Raw genomic sequence first — 20,782 nt, 5'->3', positions numbered from 1 at the left:
GGAGAGAGGACATGCCTGTTTAAGATGCCCAGAGCTGGGAAAGGTCTGTCTCCCTACTGTTGAGCGAATTCAGCATCTGTCCATCTTATAGGATTGAGAGCTCTAAGAAAACTTAGACATTGTCCAGTTCAATCTCTGTGAAATAGATGCCCAGAAACATGGAATAACTGGCGTCCCACTGCAAGGTCAGCAGAACTGGGACCGGAACCCGGATCTTCTGGCTCCGGTCCCCAGGCTTTCAGCTTTTCCGGCTACAGCACATGACTTCCATCTTTCTGTGCAAAAGGAACCAAATTACATTTCAGGTCAATCTGGTTTCTACCCAAGGAGGGAGGGTAGGGAGAAGAAAAGGAGGTGGACGTTCCTGAGCAGCTGCTCATTTTCTTACCACTCAGGGAGCCTCCAACACAAACATCTCTACCTGACTGACAAGAAACCAAATAGGAAAAGAAACCCCGCCTTCTGGAAAGACACCGTGATAAAACCGCATTTCACAGAGCATTTTGATACAGGTGAAAAAAAGCAGTTCTATCTGCAGGCTGACCCCTGGCGAAGCCCCACACGACGACCGTATCTCTGTGACAGGACACCCACTGGCTCTCACATCTGAAACTCAGCCACGGGTGAGCCAGGAAGGAGGAACTGACGAAGACCAATGGTGCACTGCCGCAGGAGGTGCCATCGGCTTCCGTGCCATACCAGCCATTGTCAACACTGCCAGACAGTGCTGTAAGCAGGAGGAGGCTTCACCGAATACACCCATCCTAGTGCCCACTGACCCCACGCTTCCCATCTCACCGATCTTTCCACCAGGTGGGCAAAGGCCAGTGTTTCACAGGTTTATTGAGGCCTGTGGGCTCTGGAACTAGGTTCTTGTGTTCAGATCCTGGCTCTGCTGCTAATTAGCTGAGTGACATTGGGGAAGGTATGGTACCTTTCTATTCCCCAGTTTTCTTGTTGGCAAAATGGGGATATTAACTGCTCCTGAATCATAGAGATGTCATGATGGTCAAATGAGGTTATGCAGGTGCCTCACAAAAGGCCTGGTGTACAGTAGGGATGTCTTACCTGTTAATGTTATCATCATTAGTACTCATCTTTTTGGCCATGAAAAGTACATCCTGCTACAGTGCATGACTTCCTGTTAGTTACTAACCTGTTAGCAATCAAATATAGTTTGACAGATTGTCTTTCCTACTGCTGGGCTACAGCTGGATGCTCCCAGCCTTGATACAGACATCCAGAGCTTATCTACTACCTCATTGATTCCTACGAGAGGGTTACATTTTATATGAGAGGTTTGCTTCTAAGTTCATTCTGTAAAGCGAAAATGCAGTCAAGTCACTCTAAGGAAGGCACCACACTGGTGAGACTGCCAGAACATCTCAGTCCAAGGCAGCCAATGTCTACATCGATCACTGCTTCTTTGGCTGAGCAGCTGAAGGATTGGATTGCATTTAGAGACCAGATTTTTAAGAAACACTTTAAACTGAAATGTCTAAAGTTGATTTTTGAGGAGCCATAAAAACAAACAAAAGAGAATAGCACTCCCTGCAGTAAGATGAGAGACATGTGGAAACAAGGACTTACCAGGTAATATGGTTTGGATCCCCTCCAAATTTCATGTTGAAATGTGATCCCCAATGTCAGAGGTGGGGCCTGGTGGGAAGTGTTTGAGTCGTGGGGGCAAATCCCTCATGAATGACTTGGGGCCCTCCCTGAGAGAGCTGTTGTTTAAAAGAGCCTGGTACCTCCCTTCTCCTTGCTCCCTGTCTTGCCATATAAAGCCTGCTCCCCCTTTGCCTTCTGCCATGATTAGAAGCTTCCTGAGGCCCTCACCAGAAGCAGATGCTGGCATCACACTTCCTGTACAGCCTGCAGAGCCATGAGCCAAAATAAACCTCTTTTCTTTATAAATTACCCAGTCTCAGGTGCTTCTTTATAACAACGCAAATGGACTAACACACCAGGGAAAGAATGGATTCATGCCTCCTGCCTCACACTTACCCTGGAGCTGTGCTGTCCAACATAGCCACGGACGGCTATTTACATTGAAATGAATTAAAATGAAATTAAATCCTGTTCTTCATTCACACTAGCCACATTTCAAAGGCTCAACAACCACTGGTGCCTAGTGGCTGCTGCAATGGACAGCACACACATGGGACATTTCCATTCATTTCCATTACTGCAGAATGTCTAGTGGTACCCAGCAGAGAGCACTGCTAAGCACTCACTAGTGGAGGTGAATCTGCCTCTGTTTCACAGGTATGTAACTCCACAATATTACTACAGTCCTATGGAAAGAGAGGCCCAGAGGGTGTAAACGACAGGAAGCAACAGAGCTGGGACCAGGATCCAGGACCTCAAGCCCCTGGCCCATAACCTCACAGACCTGATGGGCAAGGAAATGCAGAGGGAGGGGAGACAGGGAGTCTGGCGGATCAGTGGAAGGATCCTGCCTGTGAGGAAATGAGAGGTAGATACCCAGGCTAGCTTTCACAGGGATGCACCATGGTGCATGGTGGAGAACCCAGCACACGATCAGCCCTGACCTCTTTCTGCTTTGTCAAGTGGAATTGGACAAGGGATCCAAAGCCTGACAGCAAACGGGTACAAGGATATCGAGTCTCAGATCCACCTCTGCCACAGTGTTATATACTCTGGGGCAGTTCTTCATCTTTCCTTCTTCTATTAATCAACCATAATGGCAATTCTCATTAACATCTTCACCGATCTCAAGGCTTTGAGAAGTGTGCAAAAAGTTTAGGCTTTTAATTTCCCTGAAACTCAAAACTACTATGTTTTCAGCCCTTAGCTGCTTCTAAATAGAGTTGGTGACATCCCCCAAACCTTGAGGGTTGAATATGGAGAAAATTGGAGGTAAAATTGTAGGCTGATGACAAAACAGCATTCTCATCATAGGTCATCTAACGCTCAACAAAAGAGCTGGTCTGCTGTGGTACCGACACCAAGACACTTGCCCTCTCTGGGGTCTGGGTCTCCCTGCCTAATGTCATCCTTGCAGTGATGGTGCCAGGTGTTACTGTGGGGTGGAAGCTGCACTGAGGTAACAATCGGGAGAACTGAGCCCCAGGGAGAGGGTGGTATAGGAATGGGTGTAGGCTCTGGATTTGGAATGCCCAGGCTCCAACCTCAGCTCTACCACTCAGTGGCTAGTTACCTAAACTCTTTGAGACTCATTTCCCCAACTACTAAACAGGATGGTCAAACGATATCACTCATGTAAAGAACTCAGCGTTCTAAAAACCAATAATAAATGCTTCAATATTATCACCAGTCCCTGCTCCATAACAAGCTGAGTGGTGCAGGGCAAATCAGCTTACTATTCTGAGCCTCAGTTCATTCGTTTACCTGTGAAATGTGGTAACTGGGTGATGTCTGAAGTCTCGCCCAACTCTGAAATTCTAAGGAACTATACACTCCAGTGTTAGTCACTTAGGACTGTGTTCTGGGATATGTTCCTCACCTCACTGACAACTGGGAAGCACCACGTCCTGCCTGAGGGTGGCACAGCAAAGCGATGGGGCTCCAAGCCTCGAACACATGGCTTGCCCAAAAGGGAGCTTCTAACCCACTCGGTTTTGTATGGATAAAGGAAGTGTGAGTTATTCCTTCAGTCCCAGCCACACAAGCATCTCCACAAATGCTGATGTCCGCTCAAGAGACAGGAGGCCTTTATTATCAGAGAAAATGAGTCCCTGGCAGGAGACAAATCAGAGCCTTTCCCAGCCCTGAGAGTCTGTCATCTCCCCACCCTCTCCCATACTGACCTAGCAGGACATATGGGCACTTCATGATAGTTAAGTGGAGTCAGAGAGATGCTCCACTCTGTGGTGGGAGTTAAGTGGAAACAGAAACAGAAGATTGGGATCAGAATTTTTCCTCTGATTGGACAAAGATCTTCCGCTTCATCATGATATTTTATAAGTAATCTAAAAACTTGTTCTTGTTTTCACCACTATATAAGATAAACATGCCTAATAAAAATATCCTTAATAGAGATTTTAAGAACATTTCTCTCCTCTTAAAGCCAGGACCACAGGGCTGCAAAGGGAAGTCCTTCTTCCTGTCCTAGCTGAACCACATACCACCGCTGAACCCTACATGAAGCGTGACACTGCAGAGGGCAAGAAGAGCGAGCCTCCCACTAACACAAAGTGGGAAGAAGAGAAGGATGTCCAAACCAAATCAGCATCAGCAGCCCCCAGGGTTCAACAGCACGGGTATCTGTTTTGCCACCATGGAAAATGACTTTAACTAACTCCAGAAGCAGCAATCGACTATGCAGACATGTGGGGCAAATAAAACCCCTTCTGGCACTAAATGTCTTCTGTGAGTTAAAGTGCCTATGAAGAGACACTCAACAAGGTAGATATCTCAGGAAGCAGCCAGCCAGGAACAGCCCTCTCCCTACTCTCCCCTAATCACCCCCCCCACACACACAAAGACCCCAGCCCAGACAAAAAGGAAGACATTTGTATAACAAATGCAGTTATACACTTCTCAGCAGCAGCTCAGCTGTGGCGTGTACAAAAGGGGGGACAGAGGACAACCTCAGCTCGACCACATGATTAGTCAAGAGGGCTCCAACAGTATTACAAAACATCTTCCCTTCGAGTCAAGAGACACAAAGAATATGAGCTTTTAAACTGCTGAAGCAACATAAGGCCAACAGTCATGTTCACAGAAGGAACTGGATTCTGGAGCCTGTGGTTTTGAACCAGCATCAGAAAGAGCTGACTTATACACAACAAGAGCAAAGCACTGAAAAGAACAAAAGCGAACTTACGAAATACGCTGGCCATTTATGGCTCCTGTGCTGGGAGCTCTTGCTGCTATTTTATTATGATCAAAGCTGTTAAAACTTACCAAGTTACTTTTATTTATTTATTTTTATTTTTATTTTTATTGTTTTTGAGATGGAGTCTCGCCCTGTCACCTAGGCTGGAGTGCAGTGGCGCGATCTTGGCTCACTGCAAGCTCTGCCTCCTGGGTTCATGCCATTCTCCTGCCTCAGCCTCCCAAGTAGCTGGGACTACAGGCACCTGCCACCACACCAGGCTAATTTTGTTTTTGTATTTTTAGTAGAGACGGGGTTTCACCATGTTACTTTTAAATGTCTATAAATATGCCTTTAAAATTCATAGTAGTCTTGGACAGTATACAAAGTTTGACTTAGTGGGGGTATAAATTTAAAAAATACGAAAACAAGGGAAACAACCACCATGTCCAACATGAAAGGAGTACCTTAGTTAATATGATCCACCAATACAGTGGAATACCACGAGGTCATGAAAATATTAGTGAAAGATATGAATATTTGTGATATAAAACTAAATAAAATGTGAAAGACAAAATTATGTGTAAACTACAATTGCAACTATTTTTACAAGGCACCCATGAGGATTAAGACACAGAAGATACAATGCAAAAAAAAATTACTTTGTTAAATTGGTGGAATACTGGAATTTCTTCTTTTATTCCCAAATGTTTTTACATTGACTTTCTTTTTTTAGAGTAATATTTGTGTAGAAACTTAAAATCAAGCGCAAAGCACCTATACAGAATCACAGAATTTTGGAGTTGAGAGAAACCTTAGAGGTCAGACACCCTTCCTATCTTACAGTTGAGGACCCTGAGGCCTTATGAGGGTTCCTGGGCGGGGAATGCAGGGTGGGGGGTGGCAGGGTTACACAGCTAATTAATGATGCTGCTCTTCTTCACTGTAGCTGCAAGACTAAAAAGTGTGAAAGGCCCAAAGGTACTAAGAAGCTACTCTGTTTGGACCTGGAAGCTTCATCCTCTAAAAATCCGACTGCTTGGAATGTTTTGCAGCTCTGCATTCCAGTCTGAACAGGCTTCTTGGATGATGCGATTTTAGGTAATTATATCTTCAGAAATAGGTTTCTGAAATTTTCATAGCAAACTGAAGTAAAATGTTTCACATGGCAAATGACACAGAGAATCAGTATGAATCACTGAAGGATGGATGGGTTATTGCTCCAAAGAAATCTAAAAAACCGTTGATCCTACAACTCCAGACTCCACAGGTGGGGCCAGCCTCTTCCACACAAGGTCTGGACATAAGGTGACCTGCTAAGTCCGCATTTCCAAAAATATGGGCTGGAAGTAGATACTGTCCGATATGAAATCATAACAAAATGAGCACTATCCTATGAAATACTTGTTTTCCCTCCCCCTCTTCTCCAACTGTTTGAAATTAAGCATCACAAAGTCCGTATCAGCCATAGTAATCTTTGGAGGATGGGGGAGAGTGGTGAGAAAGTTGAATTCCAAGAGGGAAAAAAAAAAAGAAACTACACTGAATTCCTCCTGTTCCCTTTGGAGGGTGAAGAGGAGGAGGAAAAGTTGGGGAAAAGATAGGAAAACACCAGAAATAGTAATAAAAGAAGCTGCTGTTAAAATTTATGAATATAAATGAAAAAAATCAATTAAAGATCTAAAATCACATACTAACCAACGGTGCTGAAAGATCTGAAAGAACAGAGAAGCAAGAACAAAATGAACGCGCATAAATACATTTAAGTTGCTGCTGCCATGAAAGGCCTCTACTGAGTCCCACAATTACTTCAAAGTCTCCAAGGAAGGTGAGAGAGGCGAGTGCTCTCAGACATAAAGGGGGCTGCCTTTTTGAACAGGATGACAATGCAATGCTAAGTCACAACAGATCACAGAAGGGAAAAACAACTGCACACACTTGAAGACCAAAAGCAGCCGTGTCTTCTGAGCATCGTCCTGTTGAAGGGAGATGAGACTCACAGACAGGGCCAGGAAAAGTGAAGCAAAATCCAAGAGGCATCTAAGGATAACATGAGGTCTGTGAATCAGAGACTGCTGTCTCCTGCAGGGTGCTGCAGAAATAAACCTGGCAGGAAGTGTGACATATGCTACAGGGAGGCTGAGCCAGGCTGGAGGGGAAAATTGGGCAGGGAGAGGAGTCAGGCTCCTGTCACTGCCCCAGCTCAATAGGCAGGGTGGAGGAGCTGTTTAGTCAGGAAGGCACATTTTACCTACAGAGACCTACTTTTTCCGGAGGGAGCACTTTGGATAAAAGCAAATTATTTGAACTAACCACACTCTTTCTTCCAGTGCCCTTTAGATTTAAGAATTGGGCCCTCAGAGTTTACATTATAAATACCATACACGTGAAAGCTGTCTCCTCAAGCACTTAGAGCTACTCCATCCACGGTGGAAACATACACTTTGGAATCAAAGCATGGAGAGTTACTGGCACAAGATAGGATTAAAATTTACAGTCCAAGCATCCCATCTTAGCAGCACACATTAAGGCAATCTATTAGAAAAGCAGGATACATCATGTTCCTTCTTTTTCAGTCGCTGTGGGAACAGCAGCTGGCTTTCAACAGCCCTGGCCCCTGGATTAGCTGCTGCGTGGGCTGTTTCTATATAGGCTGGTCTAGGAGAGGGCCTGAAGGAGTGACTAAGAGCAAATGCTAGACAACTTTCCCATCTTTCATCCTTAAAACATTCAACCCTAATTAGAATTTAAAAAGTCATATGGATCTATCTTTATCCCAAAGACAGAGGCTCAGACTGAATAATTTAAGAAAATTCTCAGGGAAGTCTCAACATAATAAGCAAAGAGGTTCTTGTTCAAAAATAATAAAACCTAAAAAGAGAAAAAAAAGCCAAATAGAGCCAAAAAGAGGAATCTATGCTTTTAAGCATTTGAATTTGGAAAACAATTGCAAATCTCTTAGAAACTTAAATTAGCTATTATCAACCGATTTGCTCAGGGGTTCTCTAGTCTACCAACTCACAGAAGCTACAAAAAAAATTTACTTTTATTTTCTAAATGTCACCAGTTTTCAACCACAGCAAACAGAAGGGTATCCTGTCTTTTAACTTACACTCCTGGGAATGGGGTTGAGAGAAGAAGAATAAAACACAAGTGATCAATCAAATACCTAGGTTAATCAATAGAAATTTTCTGAAACATATTTAGTAAGACTGACATTAAAAAATGTCTAGAATACTATCATAAAGCCTCTAAAGGAAATCTAAGGAGCAACTTGTCACAGTGGAAAAACAACTATTTGAAAAAGCAAATAAGTACCCTTCATCAGAGTAACTTATACTCATTACAGATATGGGTTAAATGGCTTTCAGACCTTTACCTTATTTAATATGGGATAGTAATCGCATGTCTTTACTCTGAATGATAACCACCTCCACAGCATTTCATACCCTATCTATACATAAACCACTGTCCTCATTCCCATGTTCTTTACAGTACATATGTAATTAATTCACTTCCCCATCTGGAGGTGCCTCAACTCTGAAAGTGAGGCCATGGGCCAGGTTCTCTGTCACAAACATAGCCAGCTTCACTACAACACACATTGTCTTTTCTCATGAAAGCCTGCAGACTGGGTGCCCTTTAGGGAAAAACAAGCAAGGCAATTATCATCTTCTACTCACATGTCAGGCAGACCAGCACTGTGCGCACAAACAGGTCCACCACTAACTCACAGTGCTCGGGCGCTCGGGACACAAAGAAGGGGATGATGATCTCAGCCGGGACGTAGAACTGGAGTGCGTAGGTGAAAAAGATCCCGATGGAGTACAGCAGCTTAACTGACTGGTACAACCTGCCGAAACAGACAGGAGACATTCCAAGCCTGCTCAGCACACTTATACATCATCAGCAAGAGTGCAAAATGGTCCCATTGCGATTTGTTGACACTTATCAAGGATACAAACCCACATGTCCTTCGGACCCAGCAATTTCATGTCTAGAAATTTACCTCACAGATATCCTCACACACATACACAAAAGCTTATATTCAAAATATCTCACTGCAGCATTATTTAAGAAGGAAAGACTGAAAACAATTTAAATGTTAACCAGTGGGAACTCGATAGGTAAATCGTGGTGCCCCCGTATAGCTTTTAACAAAGTATGAGGCAGAACTCTAGGTGTGATGGTGTGATATGAAACTATCCCCATGATATATCACTCTATCACATGATATAGCATATCACTATCATGGGGACAGTTTTATATCACTTTTTTTAAGTGAAAAAAGCATGAAGCAATACAGTACCTACAGAGTGCTACAATTTGTCTTAAAAAAGAAAAAAGAGGAGGAAAAAACACACACTCACCCCACATGACAATCATACACTAAACATCTCAAAACAAACAAACAAACAAAAAAGAAACTGGGAATATGGTTGCCTCTGAAATGGGAAATTGTAAAATTGGGAACTAGAGTGGAGGGCGCGGGGTGGAAGCTTAATGCTCTCTATATACCTTTTGAAAATCTCAATCTTTGCCATGGGCATACAGGTGTACATGCCTTCAAAAATAAAAACAAAATTGCAATTAAAATGTCACAAGCCTATTTATATCTGTCCCATCCAAGTCAGTGTCCCTAGAATTAGATGAAGACACTGCAGGACCAAGAGGCCAGAGCAGAATTCCATCTTTCCATACCACTATGGCTCTCTTCCTACTACTGCTTCAAGTGTAGCTTCCAAAAATGACGTAACTCACCACAGGATATCCCTATTTTATTACTCCAGTGCCTTGACTGCACAGAGTAGGAAAACAGTCTGTGATCAACTTACAGATCTGACCTGGTCATTAAAAGGAAAGGTCTCTGTCCCTAAGCAAAGCTCCACCTTAAACCAGACCCTCATGTGTTAAACAGCAAGAAACATTTGTCCTCCCTTGTCGGAAATCTATTTAAATGTGCTAATACAGACTGTGTATATGTGCCTTGAGTTTCTCTGTGGTTGAATTTAAAATCTAGAAGATGTTCTTATGCTATAAGCAGGAGAACAACCTTGTAAAGACTGAGTCTGGTAAAAGGTCATACTTGCTCCATGAATAGATAATAAAAACTCTTGGGAAAAATCATCTGGTGGCTCTATCATTAAACTCAAAGCAGCCCCAAAGCCTCTGGAGAGCTGTGAAGTCTGGACTTAGGAGAGTGACACCTGCAGGGATAGCCAAATAAATTATACCCAAATGGAGGCAGAAGAGTTACAGCAGCTGGGTTTGGGGTGTTAGGAAAGAAGACAGATTCTCCTCTATGGCTTCGGATCATGTGGGCTGCTTCTGTTGCTCCCGATCCATTTATCTTCCAGGGAAAGGTGACACAGTTACACCAAGCTACCACCTGCCTCTTCCTTCTTGGAAGGGCAGAAACATTTGGAAATTTAAAAGTAGACACAAGATGGATATGCCAATTACCCTGATTTGATAATTACACATTGTACATATGTATCCAAATGTCACACATACTGCATCCATATATATAATTGGTATGCCTCACGAGTTAAAATCAACTGAAAAAGAATATAAAAAAATAAAAAGCGAATCCAGGTCTATAGCCATACCATTCTGAATGTGCTCAATTTCACCTGATCTTGGAAGCTAAGCAGGGTCAAGCCTGGTTCGTACTTGAACGGGAAAGCCCCTGGAAATACTGAGTGCTGTTGTCTTAAAAAATACAATAAAATAAAACAATACAAAACAAAATAAAAAGCACACCCAGGCAGATCAGCCAGCCTAGACTGAAAGCTGATTCTGATCCGCAGAGCACTCAACAAGCTTCTCAGTGTCTGCTAACAGCTGCTCTCCACCATGAGATGATTCATCTTCAAAACAGGATGGTTGCTCTGCACATGCCCTGGGACATTCACCCTTTCAGGAAGCATTTCAAAATGGCTCACTATTTCCCTATAATACATTCACCAATGCAAGGGAGGTACAAAAGGACTCCCAACAATCCCCGGCTCACAGTGAGATGCTCCCATCTGCATATCAAGCCTGTTACTACCAAGGGAGAGGCACAACCGATGCTGGGAATCAAATGCAGGTTTGCCCTCCCATCTCCCTGTCTATTTGGAATGGTTTACCATGAATGGACTAGATACTCGGTCCTTCTGAGCTTAGGAATTCCAAGGAGAAATGGCTTACCCATCGGCTGATCAGCACCAATGGCTTCAGCAGAAGGCTCTACATGAATTCCCCAAACAGAATGCAGTCCAGGGCAGCCAGTGAGGGCTGGCAGTGGCAGGGGATGGTGGGCTAGAGTGAAGTGGGCTGGTTTAAGAGATAAGTAAGAGGGAGAATCCACACTGTGACCCATTAGTTTTTAAAAATATCCAGTGCTCCTAGGTTTCCATCCTCCCTCCACGTACCAGCAGTTGGGCAGGTTGAGGGTTATGCTGCCTTGGATATTAGCTCCAAATTGCAGGTACCCCAGACACCCCAGGCTGATGTAGAGGATGGTGACGATGACCATGCCCAGGTACAGGATGAGTGGGAACTTCCGAGGATCCTTCATTTTGTTTTCCAGGGGCAGAACCTATGAGAGAGTAGTGAGAGAGGAGAGAAAGTGCAGAAAAAAGAAAAGTTAATGGCCAAGAAAAAAAAAAACCTCAGAAAAAAAGTAACTCTTTTATCCCCAGAATTCTCCAGAAGCACATCTGCTCTTTAAATAAAGTTATTTCATCAGACGTTATGCTCTTGGGACTAGAAGGGACTCTGCAGCCCACTGCCTAGCTAGGAAGTCCTAAAAGTAAGGGTGGACAGGACACGAGCCCAGGACTCCTGGCTCAGGCCAGTGCTCTGTCCTCCTGCTGCAGGATCCCTGCAGGCTGGGAATGTCCCTTGCCCTGTGAGTGAGGCCACATGGCAACCAGAAGGCCCTCTCATGTCATGCCCACCTGGCATCTAACCTGAGATCACAGCTTCCTGCTAACCTGTCTAAAGAATGCAAAATATAGGTCAGGGAAAACTGCCACTCTAGCTCAACAGGGGCAAGCACTAGCAGTGACAAGTTAAACCTCCAAGTGAGAGAAACTGCAGTGCGAAAGAAAGCATGACTTCGTAGAGGATCTCAAGACATGGGTGCTTAACAATGCCCAGTTTCCAGACTCCTATTACAAACCACTGACCTTTGCTACCTCCTTCATCATAAGAGAGGACATTCTTTAACTTTGGTAAAAGCAAAGGAAAGGCCCCTATGAAAATGAGTTTATTTAGGAATTGGGAAAATGGCAGGTGTGACTGTGAGGATCTTCACAGTCTGCCATCAACTGGATCTGGCACAGCTAATAAGGAAGAGCAACACTGGGCAATGTCTAGCTGTGCCACAAACTTTGATCTTGTTATTACACTTATTTTCCTGCAGCACCTGCAGCCATGAGGCACAATAGGTCTGTGCTGCACACACCAACATGATCCTGCTGCAGGCCTGGTGCTCCCAGGGGCCCCCAGTGTCCCCCACCACCTGCTCCAGCTTCAGTTAATCCACATCCATTAGAAACAGCTTCTAAATGTATCTGTCAGTTTCCATCATACCAAGAATACAAAGAGCCAGAGGGCAGGGAGCCCATATCTGGCCTGTGACAGCTGCATGAACACAGAGCACACGGTGAATACAGTGTGCAGCCTGGCACTTTACCCCGATGCAATGAACAAGCCCTAGATCCAAAACTAAGAGTCAATCTAGCAGTGTTCTCTCTCTATTGTAAAAAAATAGAAATACAAAGAAATCTTGAAAACAAATGATGTTTGCAGAATAACTTTGTGTACAAGTCTTGGGTAATAAAACCAAGCAAACAATTTCTGCGCTGTGCTGTTAGGGAAAGCTACTAAAAATTTAGCACAAGGTCCCTTAGGATGCCCAAGAACCTAAGGTCTCTGGGCATCTTTCCACACTTTCTCAGCCTCTTCTTTCCAGTCCTGAGTTCTTGGGATCTCTTTCTCACTGCTGAAGTATGGGCCCACTCAGGCCTCTGCCCCAGCAGCAGGAAACCATTTGTGTTTCTGAATTACAGTGAGACACTCTTCATGGGCAATGAAAAGCCCTAAGATAGAGCACAGGGCAAGGTATAAAACCTCAGGGAGACCAGTGATTTACATGTGATCACTCCCAAAGCCTCCCCCATGATGTCAGAGCTTCAACGTGTTCCATCAACACCACCTGGGTGATTTCTCACGATTTTGACAAAAAATGTGTACAGCTTCTAGGTTTTCTTAAAAGCAAATAAGGTGTCTCGGAAATCAAAAAAGAGAAAGAAGTGCCGTGCCGGGAGGAGGCTCTTCCCATTTGTGGCGCCCTTGGCCAGGAATAACTTTCTTCAGAGAAGAGTTTTGTACCATTATTATGAAAAATACAAATAAAATTCAAATTAGGTAAAAGTGAGGGGTAGATTCCTTTTTAGGAAAAGCATTTGGTGAAATCACAGAATGCTGAGCCAGGAGTGAAGGCTGCTCTTTTGCACGCAGAAAATACACCAAACCAATGTTGTAGGGCAGAGAAATTATTCATGCATTTATTGATTCAATAATAAAATAACATTATTAATAAAATAAAAATCTATTAAACATTTACCATGTGTCAGGGTCTGTGCAAAGCATTTTGCACATATCTCATTTAATCCTAATAACTACGAATCATTAAGCTCACTTTTCAGGAACAAATAATGAAGGCTCAAAGAGATGAAGCCCTTGCTCAAGGTCACACAGCTACTCTATGGCAGAGCCAGGACTTACCCCCATGTCAGTCTGACTCTAGACCCTGCCTTCCTGATTGCCATATGCTATTCCTTACTGCACACATAGGAGATGAGTGTGCAGTGAAGGGGCCTTGAATGTAAACATTTTAAAATTACATATAATTTGTCTTGAAAAGTTGAAGCTGGGAAATCTCAATGGAATCCCCGAAACACTATTCACTAACTGACCAGTGAGTTACAGAAGATAATTTCTTTTTTTTTTTTTTTTTTTTGAGACAGAGTCTCGCTCTGTCACCCAGGCTGGAGTGCAGTGGCGTGATCTTGGCTCACTGCAACCTCCGTCTCCCCAGTTCAAGCAATTCTCCTGCCTCAGCCTCTCGAGTGGCTGGGATTATAGGCGTGTGCCACCATGCCTAGCTGATTTTTGTATATTTAGTAGAGATGGGGTTTCACCATGTTGGCCAGGCTGGTTTCGAACTCCTGACCTCAAGTGATCCACCAGTCTAGGCCTCCCAAAGTGCTGAGATTACAGGCGTGAGCCACCATGCCTGGCCTCAGAAGATACTTTCTAACAATGTTTCCTCAGCATTCCTTGAAACAGACCTGGAGAACACCAAGGGCACCAGAGAACACTAGCCCAAATCACAGTGCAGCTCTTACCATTCCAATGCCTTCAAATGAAAAAATCGCTGTGCCAAAGAAGAGAGGGTAGGTCTTCCAAGGGGCCACCAAGGGGAGGTGGCTGGGGTCTGGGATCCTCTGAAAGACAGAAAGCAAAACAAAGCAAAACAAAGCAAAAGGCTATACAGAAATTCAAGATTTGAACTCTGAATCGGAGAGGTCATACCTTTTAACAAATCCAAGATTCTCTAAAGGAAGAAAGTCTAATACCTGACAGATGATTTAGGGACATTTAACCTTTGTATGTTTTTCTCTTCAGGCTAAGAAAAACCCACTTGTTTGGGGGAAAGACAAGCCCAAGGTACTATTAAAAACTCAAATGTTGGGGCTTGCATAAAAAGAGTCACATTCTTTCACTAGGTAATCCCATCCCCAGAAACTGAATTCAAGTAGAAAAAAAATCAAAAGATGAAAAACACTGAGCAAAGCTGTTTAATAAAGTAACTGAAAACAATATAAGTGCTTCCAAACAAGGGATCAGTTAAGTAATTAACAACATACCAGCTAAACCACAGAATATATATTCTATCTATCTATCTATCTATCTATCTATCTATCTATCTATCTATCTATCTAGAGACAGAGTCTCCTTCTGTCACCCAGGCTGGCGTGCAGTGGCGAGATCTCGGCTCACTGCAACCTCCCTCTGCCTCCTGGGTTCAAGCAATTCTTCGTGCCTCAGCCTCCTGAGTGGCTAGGACTACAGGTGCGTGCCACCACACTCGGCTATTTTTTGTATATTTTTGGTAGAGACAGGGCTTCACCATGTTGGCCAAGCTGTTTGTGAACTCTTGATTTCAAGTGATCTGCCTGCCTCGGCCTCCCAAGGTGCTGGGATCACAGGCGTTGGCCACTGCGCCTGGCCAGTATGCACTATTAAAAAGTAAAAATTGAGATAACTAAGTAGAACATGAAAAACTACTTACGAAATATTAGTGAGAAAAAATTTTAATTTTAATTTATATATTCACTCTGATACAACTACATAAACATCAAAGATAAAGCTGGAAGGGAAGAGAAAGTGGTACATTTTTATATTGGTTCTCTTCCTTTTTCCTCTTCTTTTCTTCTCCTTTTTAAAATTCTCATCAATGAACTTGAGCACTTTCAAAGTATTACCAAGAAGCACACAACAGGAGTGCTGGAACATGTGGGGAGGAGGAGCAAAAAGAATGCTTTAAAAAATGGGCCAGAAAAAGGGCAACTGTTAACTGCAGGTACAATGTTAAGGTTGTATAAGGAAGGAGGTTGTGATGGTTAATACTGAGTGTCAACTTGATTGCACTGAAGGAGGCAAAGTATTGTTCCTGCGTGTGTTTGTGAGGGTGTTGCCACATTTGAGTCAGTGGACTGGGAAAGGCAGACCCACCCTTAATCTGGATGGGCACAATCTAATCAGCTGCCAGCTCGGCCAGTGGCCAGATTAAAAAGCAGGCAGAAGAATGTGAAAAGGCTAGACTGGCTTAGCCTCCCAGGCTACATCTTTCTCCCGTGCTGGATACTTCCTGCCCTTGAACATCAGACCTCGAGTTCTTCAGCTTTGGGACTTGGACTGGCTTCCTTGCTCCTCAGCCTGCAGACGGCCTGTTGTGGAAACCTGTGATTGCGTGAGTTAATATTCCTTAATAAACTCCCCTATATATGTACATCTATCCTATTAGTTCTGTCCCTCTAGAGAACCCTGACTAAGACAGAGGTATAGTCACAAAATCCTCCACCGAACAACAGTCTCCAGTAACAGACTGTGTGGAAGGGGCAGGGTGGGGAGGAGGGATTCAAAGCTGCTGTCTTTTTACAATTTGGTTTTCTAAACCACATGTGTATGTTGCTTCAATTAAAATAAAAATTGATGTTAAAACAGCCTTTTACAATGTTTTAAAATTGATTTAACTGTATGGCTATTTGGATAATACGGGGCATGCTCTTAACAGGCTTCAGAATAATTTCAGGCAAGTAAAAGGAGATCCATTATTAAGCTCTATAACAGCCTTCACTTTGAAAGATTTCAAAGCAGTAATATTGCTTTTGAAAAAATAAAAAAATTAAATAAATGTGTTTCCCTGGGCCCCTGCTAAGAAATCTGTTAGATCCCTTTGTAAGAAGCATTTCAATACCTGGAATGAAGACAGGGTAATAGGTATTTTTCCTTTACAATGGGACTTGAGAGCAAGAGTGGCCTGTAATTATTCCTGAGTCACAAATGTAACCTAAGTTATTGGAAACAGGTGCTATCTGTTGGTTAGTGAATGACTCCTGCTCTTATTCATACATCAGATCAGATTCAAGTATCAGACTGGGAATTTCACAATCCATATGTGGGGATATTGTGGGAATGAGGCCAGCAGAAGAAGTGTATTATTCTACATACTTACTGATTGCTACTGACCCAACCAACTAAATGAGAAAAGTTTAATTTATAAAGAAACATACATGTTAAAATCAGCTCGTTATTAACATATCTCCTCAATTCTACAACACAGTAAGTCCTCCCTTGTCGTCAATAAGTTCTTGGAAACTGAGACTTTAAGTGAAATGACGTACAGTCACTTCCTTCAACGCTGTTTTGTTATAACATTGATGAGAAAAAAACTGATTTCGCTATACATACATTTAATGTATTGCAGTTTCTAAGAATGTATCAATGATATTAAGTGAGGTCTTACCATATTATCAATTATAATAACAGTATTTTGAGAAAATGCTGTTAAAGGTACACATGGATTGTGAGATGTACTCTTGCAATCCTGAAACTGTTATAACTATGAAAAAATACATCTCAGAAGCAACGATATGCAGTGATAAAACATTTATTGGGAGCACCCTCTGTGCAAAGCACTCTGCCCAGAACTGTTCCATTTGAGACTCCACATGCTGAAGACAGAGAGGAACCTGCTCTCTGTGGAAGACCTTGGTCTGCTACCTACAATGGCACGTGCATGAGGGGCAAGAGGAACAGTCATGTACATGCTTAGGATTAGGGAAAAAATTCAGAAACATTGAACAGTAGGGGAATCCTCATGGTAAGTGGGGCACAATGCCAAAACAGAACAGTAGTAACAAGCCGCAGAGGCAGCGGCAACAAAAATGACCTAAAGGGAGCATCTTTAGCTGTATGACACATCAAAATGAAGCAACTACAACACTATGGGCAGTGACTACATCAAAACACAGCCAAACCTCTTCCCCCATGCTGTACTCCAGGCAGACGGCACTATTTGATCACAGCACAACTTCTGGCTAAGCCCAGAGGAAGACTCAGAATTGCTCTCAAGAAATCAGCAGGGCTGCCCTTATGCAGACATTGCTCTGTGTCCTGGTTGTACTATGCATAGACATCACTCTGGATGGATACTACCAGTTGGTTGGGACTGAGACGCTATAAGAACCCAAATTCTTATCCCAGCCCTCTGATCATGGCAACCACCACAGCCCGACTACCTGCAATGATTTAAAAGTAAATGCAGCAGGTGTGTCTGTCTATGGGGGTGGCCTCACTCAATTCATCTTTAGTGTACAGTGGAGTATATCCTAGGTGCTCTTGAGAGTTCTAATTACAACATGAAATCATGGGTAAATATTTACCCTTCCTTGTTTGGTAATGGAAATGGTCTATAGTGCATTCACAGGCCCTCCTTCCAGTCTCATAAAAAGGGGACGTGAAGAACTATTTATTTTATGTTTAAAAAAATAGTTCTGCAGAAGAGTCAATATCTGCCACTCATCTGACTTAATGTGATGAAAAAACAGTCAATACTCACAGAGCAAAATGTTAATCTAAATTGATAATGTCATTTGCTTAGCACAAGAAGTCCTGCTTTTTATGAGCCACTGTCTTCCTGGAAACTATATCAGTGGGTGACTGGGTCACTGTTAAGCAGACTGTATGAAAATGAGATAATATTCACCTGTCAGACTGACCAAAATAATACTAATATAATTATACTATATATAAATACTAATATATCATACATATATCAAGAATACTAATATAAATAATACTAATACATCCAGTATTAGTAAGGATGGAAAAATGGGCACTTAAATACTGTGGAAGGGAGTCTCTATGAAATTAGGAAATAGCTTTTGGAAAAAACAACTTGGTAACATAACAAAAATTCAAAAGTGCACACTCTTCAGCAATTACACATCTAGACAAATATCTTAAGTATTTATACAAGTCCACAAAAAGGAATGTATAAGAACATCTCACTGTCTTAATACTGAAATAATACTAAAAATTATCCATGGCCTGATAGCCACTGAGTGAGGACTTGTTAAATAAATGGCAGCAAATCTCCTTGCTGTGATACAATGTGACAACTAACAACAACAAGGTAGAGCCAGGAATACTAACCTGGAAGGCTCACTAAGGCATTTTTAAGGTGGAAAAAAGCAAGGTAGATGAACATGTAACTTTAAAAAATTATGTTTCAAAAATGAAAACAAAATATATTTCAATGTATTTCTCAATATACTTACATGGGCTGTAAATCCATTCACAGGATCTAGAATGAGACAGACCAATCACATACAGCGGGTCCCTGAGAGGAGACTCGGGGTGGGGACATGGTATTCAAGAGGTATTTGTGTTGTCTGCATTTTAATGAATATGTACTGATGAATTATTTGGGGAACTGAATTTAAGTATTTTTTTTTTTAAGTTATGCTTTTATTTACCCGCTTTTACTTTTTTCCTTTTCTCAAGCCTTAGAAAATGCATTCTCATTTTCACAAACAGCCATAGTGTTTAAGGGCACATTTTTCTCAGCCTGATTTTCTACCCATCTGTATACAGATGTTCTCTCTCATGCCACCCCACAGACTTGCCTGCATGGGTTAAGTGAGGGCAAGGAACAAGTGAATTTATAATTTTGACAAATAAAAATTAACTGGAGTTGATAAGGAATTACTTATCTAAATACAGGTTAGAAAAATTATTTTTTATTTTAATCTTAACATTTTCCTCTATTTTCCAACTGTATACAATGATCATGAATTAACCATCTAATTGAAAAAAGTCTAAACCAGTGCCCCCTGGGTGGGGGGGCGATTTTGCCCCCCAGGAAGGTTTGGCAATGTCTGGAGACATTTTTGGTTGTCATAACTCATGGAGGGATCGCTACTGGTACCTAATGAGTAGAGACCAGAGATGCTGCTAAACACCCCACAATGCACAGGACAGCCCCATAGCAAAGAATTTATCCATCCCAAAATGTCAACAGGGCCCAAGAACAGAACCTCTAATCTAGACATACCAGTAGTAACATATAACTATTTACATTCCACTTACATATATATATTATGTATATATATACACAATATATAAATATTACATACATTATATAATATATATTATGCATGTACATAATATATATTACATGTATATGTAAAATATACATGTAATATATATAAAATATAATAACATATACACATATATGTAAATATATATATATAAAATATATATATATATATATATATATATATTTTTTTTTTTTTTTTGAGACAGAGTCTTGCTCTGTTGCCCAGGTCGGAGTGCAGTAGCATGATCTCAGCTCACTGCAACCTTCGCCTCCCAGGTTCAAGCGATTCTCCTGCCTCAGCCTCCCAAATAGCTGAGATTAGGCCCACACCCCCATGCCTAATTTTTCTATTTTTACTAGTAGAGACAGGTTTCACCATGACGGCCAGGCTGGTCTCAAACTCCTGATCTCAGGTGATCCACCCGCCCCCACCTCCCAAAGTGCTGGGATTACAGGCATGAGCTACCACGCCTGGCTTTTTTAAAATATTGAACCAAGATGATAGGAGAGGGCCTAGGCATGTACCTGAACAATGAACTGGTAGATCATGACCAAGCTGACCAGCATGGTGATGTTGGCCAACAGGGAGAAGATGGACAGGGCTCGGAGGTTCCTGATGAAAACCAGCAGCACCAGGAAGGGCAGGAAGGAGAGCATGTAGAGTCGCGAGTCCATGGTAGGCGTCAGAATCACCGTCTCATTGTTGTGGCAGTTATTGGTGGTCCCATTGGCCGCTTCTATCACCTAGAATGAGGGGAAGGAAGAAAACGGAAACACCTCTCAAACAACAGAGGCCGGTGGATCCTCTGCTGGAAGAGGTTCCTGAGGAAAGGCTCAGGTGTGTGAACAAGGCCTTTTAGAATCTGTGGCCAGTGAGCCATCTTTAGAGAACTTCACGACTATCATCAGCAACCCAATTGTCTGAGCTAGGTTTGATCATATGTACCTAGGACAGGAGGGTCGACAAGACATGTGGCGGTTTCTCTATGCCCGAGCTCTTTCCATGGGAATCAAATAGAAGACGTAGATCTATGTAAAATATGAAAACTTTAACTCTTTTGTTGACAAAAGCTGATTTGGAAAAAATCCTAAACAAAAACTTCAATCATCTTTTGCCATTCTCGCTCTGGTTTTTTTTTTTTTTTTCTTTTTTAACCAGGTGCCTACCTGTTTAAAGTTGTCAGCCAGAAACACAAAATAGACACAGCAGAATCCCAGCTGGGTGACAATCAGGAAGAAGTCCACAACACGTCTGG

The 20,782-nt window shown here is 42.5% G+C and overlaps 1 protein-coding gene and 1 pseudogene across 27 annotated transcripts in view; one reads left to right on the top strand and one right to left on the bottom strand.

Annotated features, from left to right (window-relative positions):
- Positions 1-20,782, bottom strand: part of SLC36A1 (solute carrier family 36 member 1) — a 211,490-nt gene that overhangs the window by 68,109 nt on the left and 122,599 nt on the right. For 21 of the 27 annotated variants that reach the window (XM_011537591.2, XM_047416924.1, XM_011537585.1 and 18 more), the window contains 5 exons: positions 20,694-20,778; positions 20,052-20,270; positions 14,206-14,304; positions 11,221-11,387; positions 8,488-8,657 (listed from right to left, as the gene is read on the bottom strand). In XM_011537591.2, the coding sequence (XP_011535893.1) occupies positions 8,488-8,657; positions 11,221-11,387; positions 14,206-14,304; positions 20,052-20,270; positions 20,694-20,778 (740 nt within the window). Of the gene's footprint in view, positions 1-2; positions 6,845-7,832; positions 7,921-8,487; positions 8,658-11,220; positions 11,388-14,205; positions 14,305-15,158; positions 15,368-17,017; positions 17,147-18,705; positions 18,732-20,051; positions 20,271-20,693; positions 20,779-20,782 lie in introns of those variants that run through there. The other 6 variants (XM_047416928.1, XM_047416927.1, NM_001308150.2 and 3 more) reach the window with 5 other exon arrangements.
- Positions 10,400-10,518, top strand: RNA5SP197 (RNA, 5S ribosomal pseudogene 197; annotated as a pseudogene).

Source organism: Homo sapiens, chromosome 5 (assembly GCF_000001405.40).
Source record: "Homo sapiens chromosome 5, GRCh38.p14 Primary Assembly".
NCBI classification, from domain to species: Eukaryota; Metazoa; Chordata; class Mammalia; order Primates; family Hominidae; genus Homo; species Homo sapiens.
The sequence above is the reverse complement of the archived record's forward strand: the minus strand, read 5'-3'. Positions and strand labels throughout refer to the sequence as shown.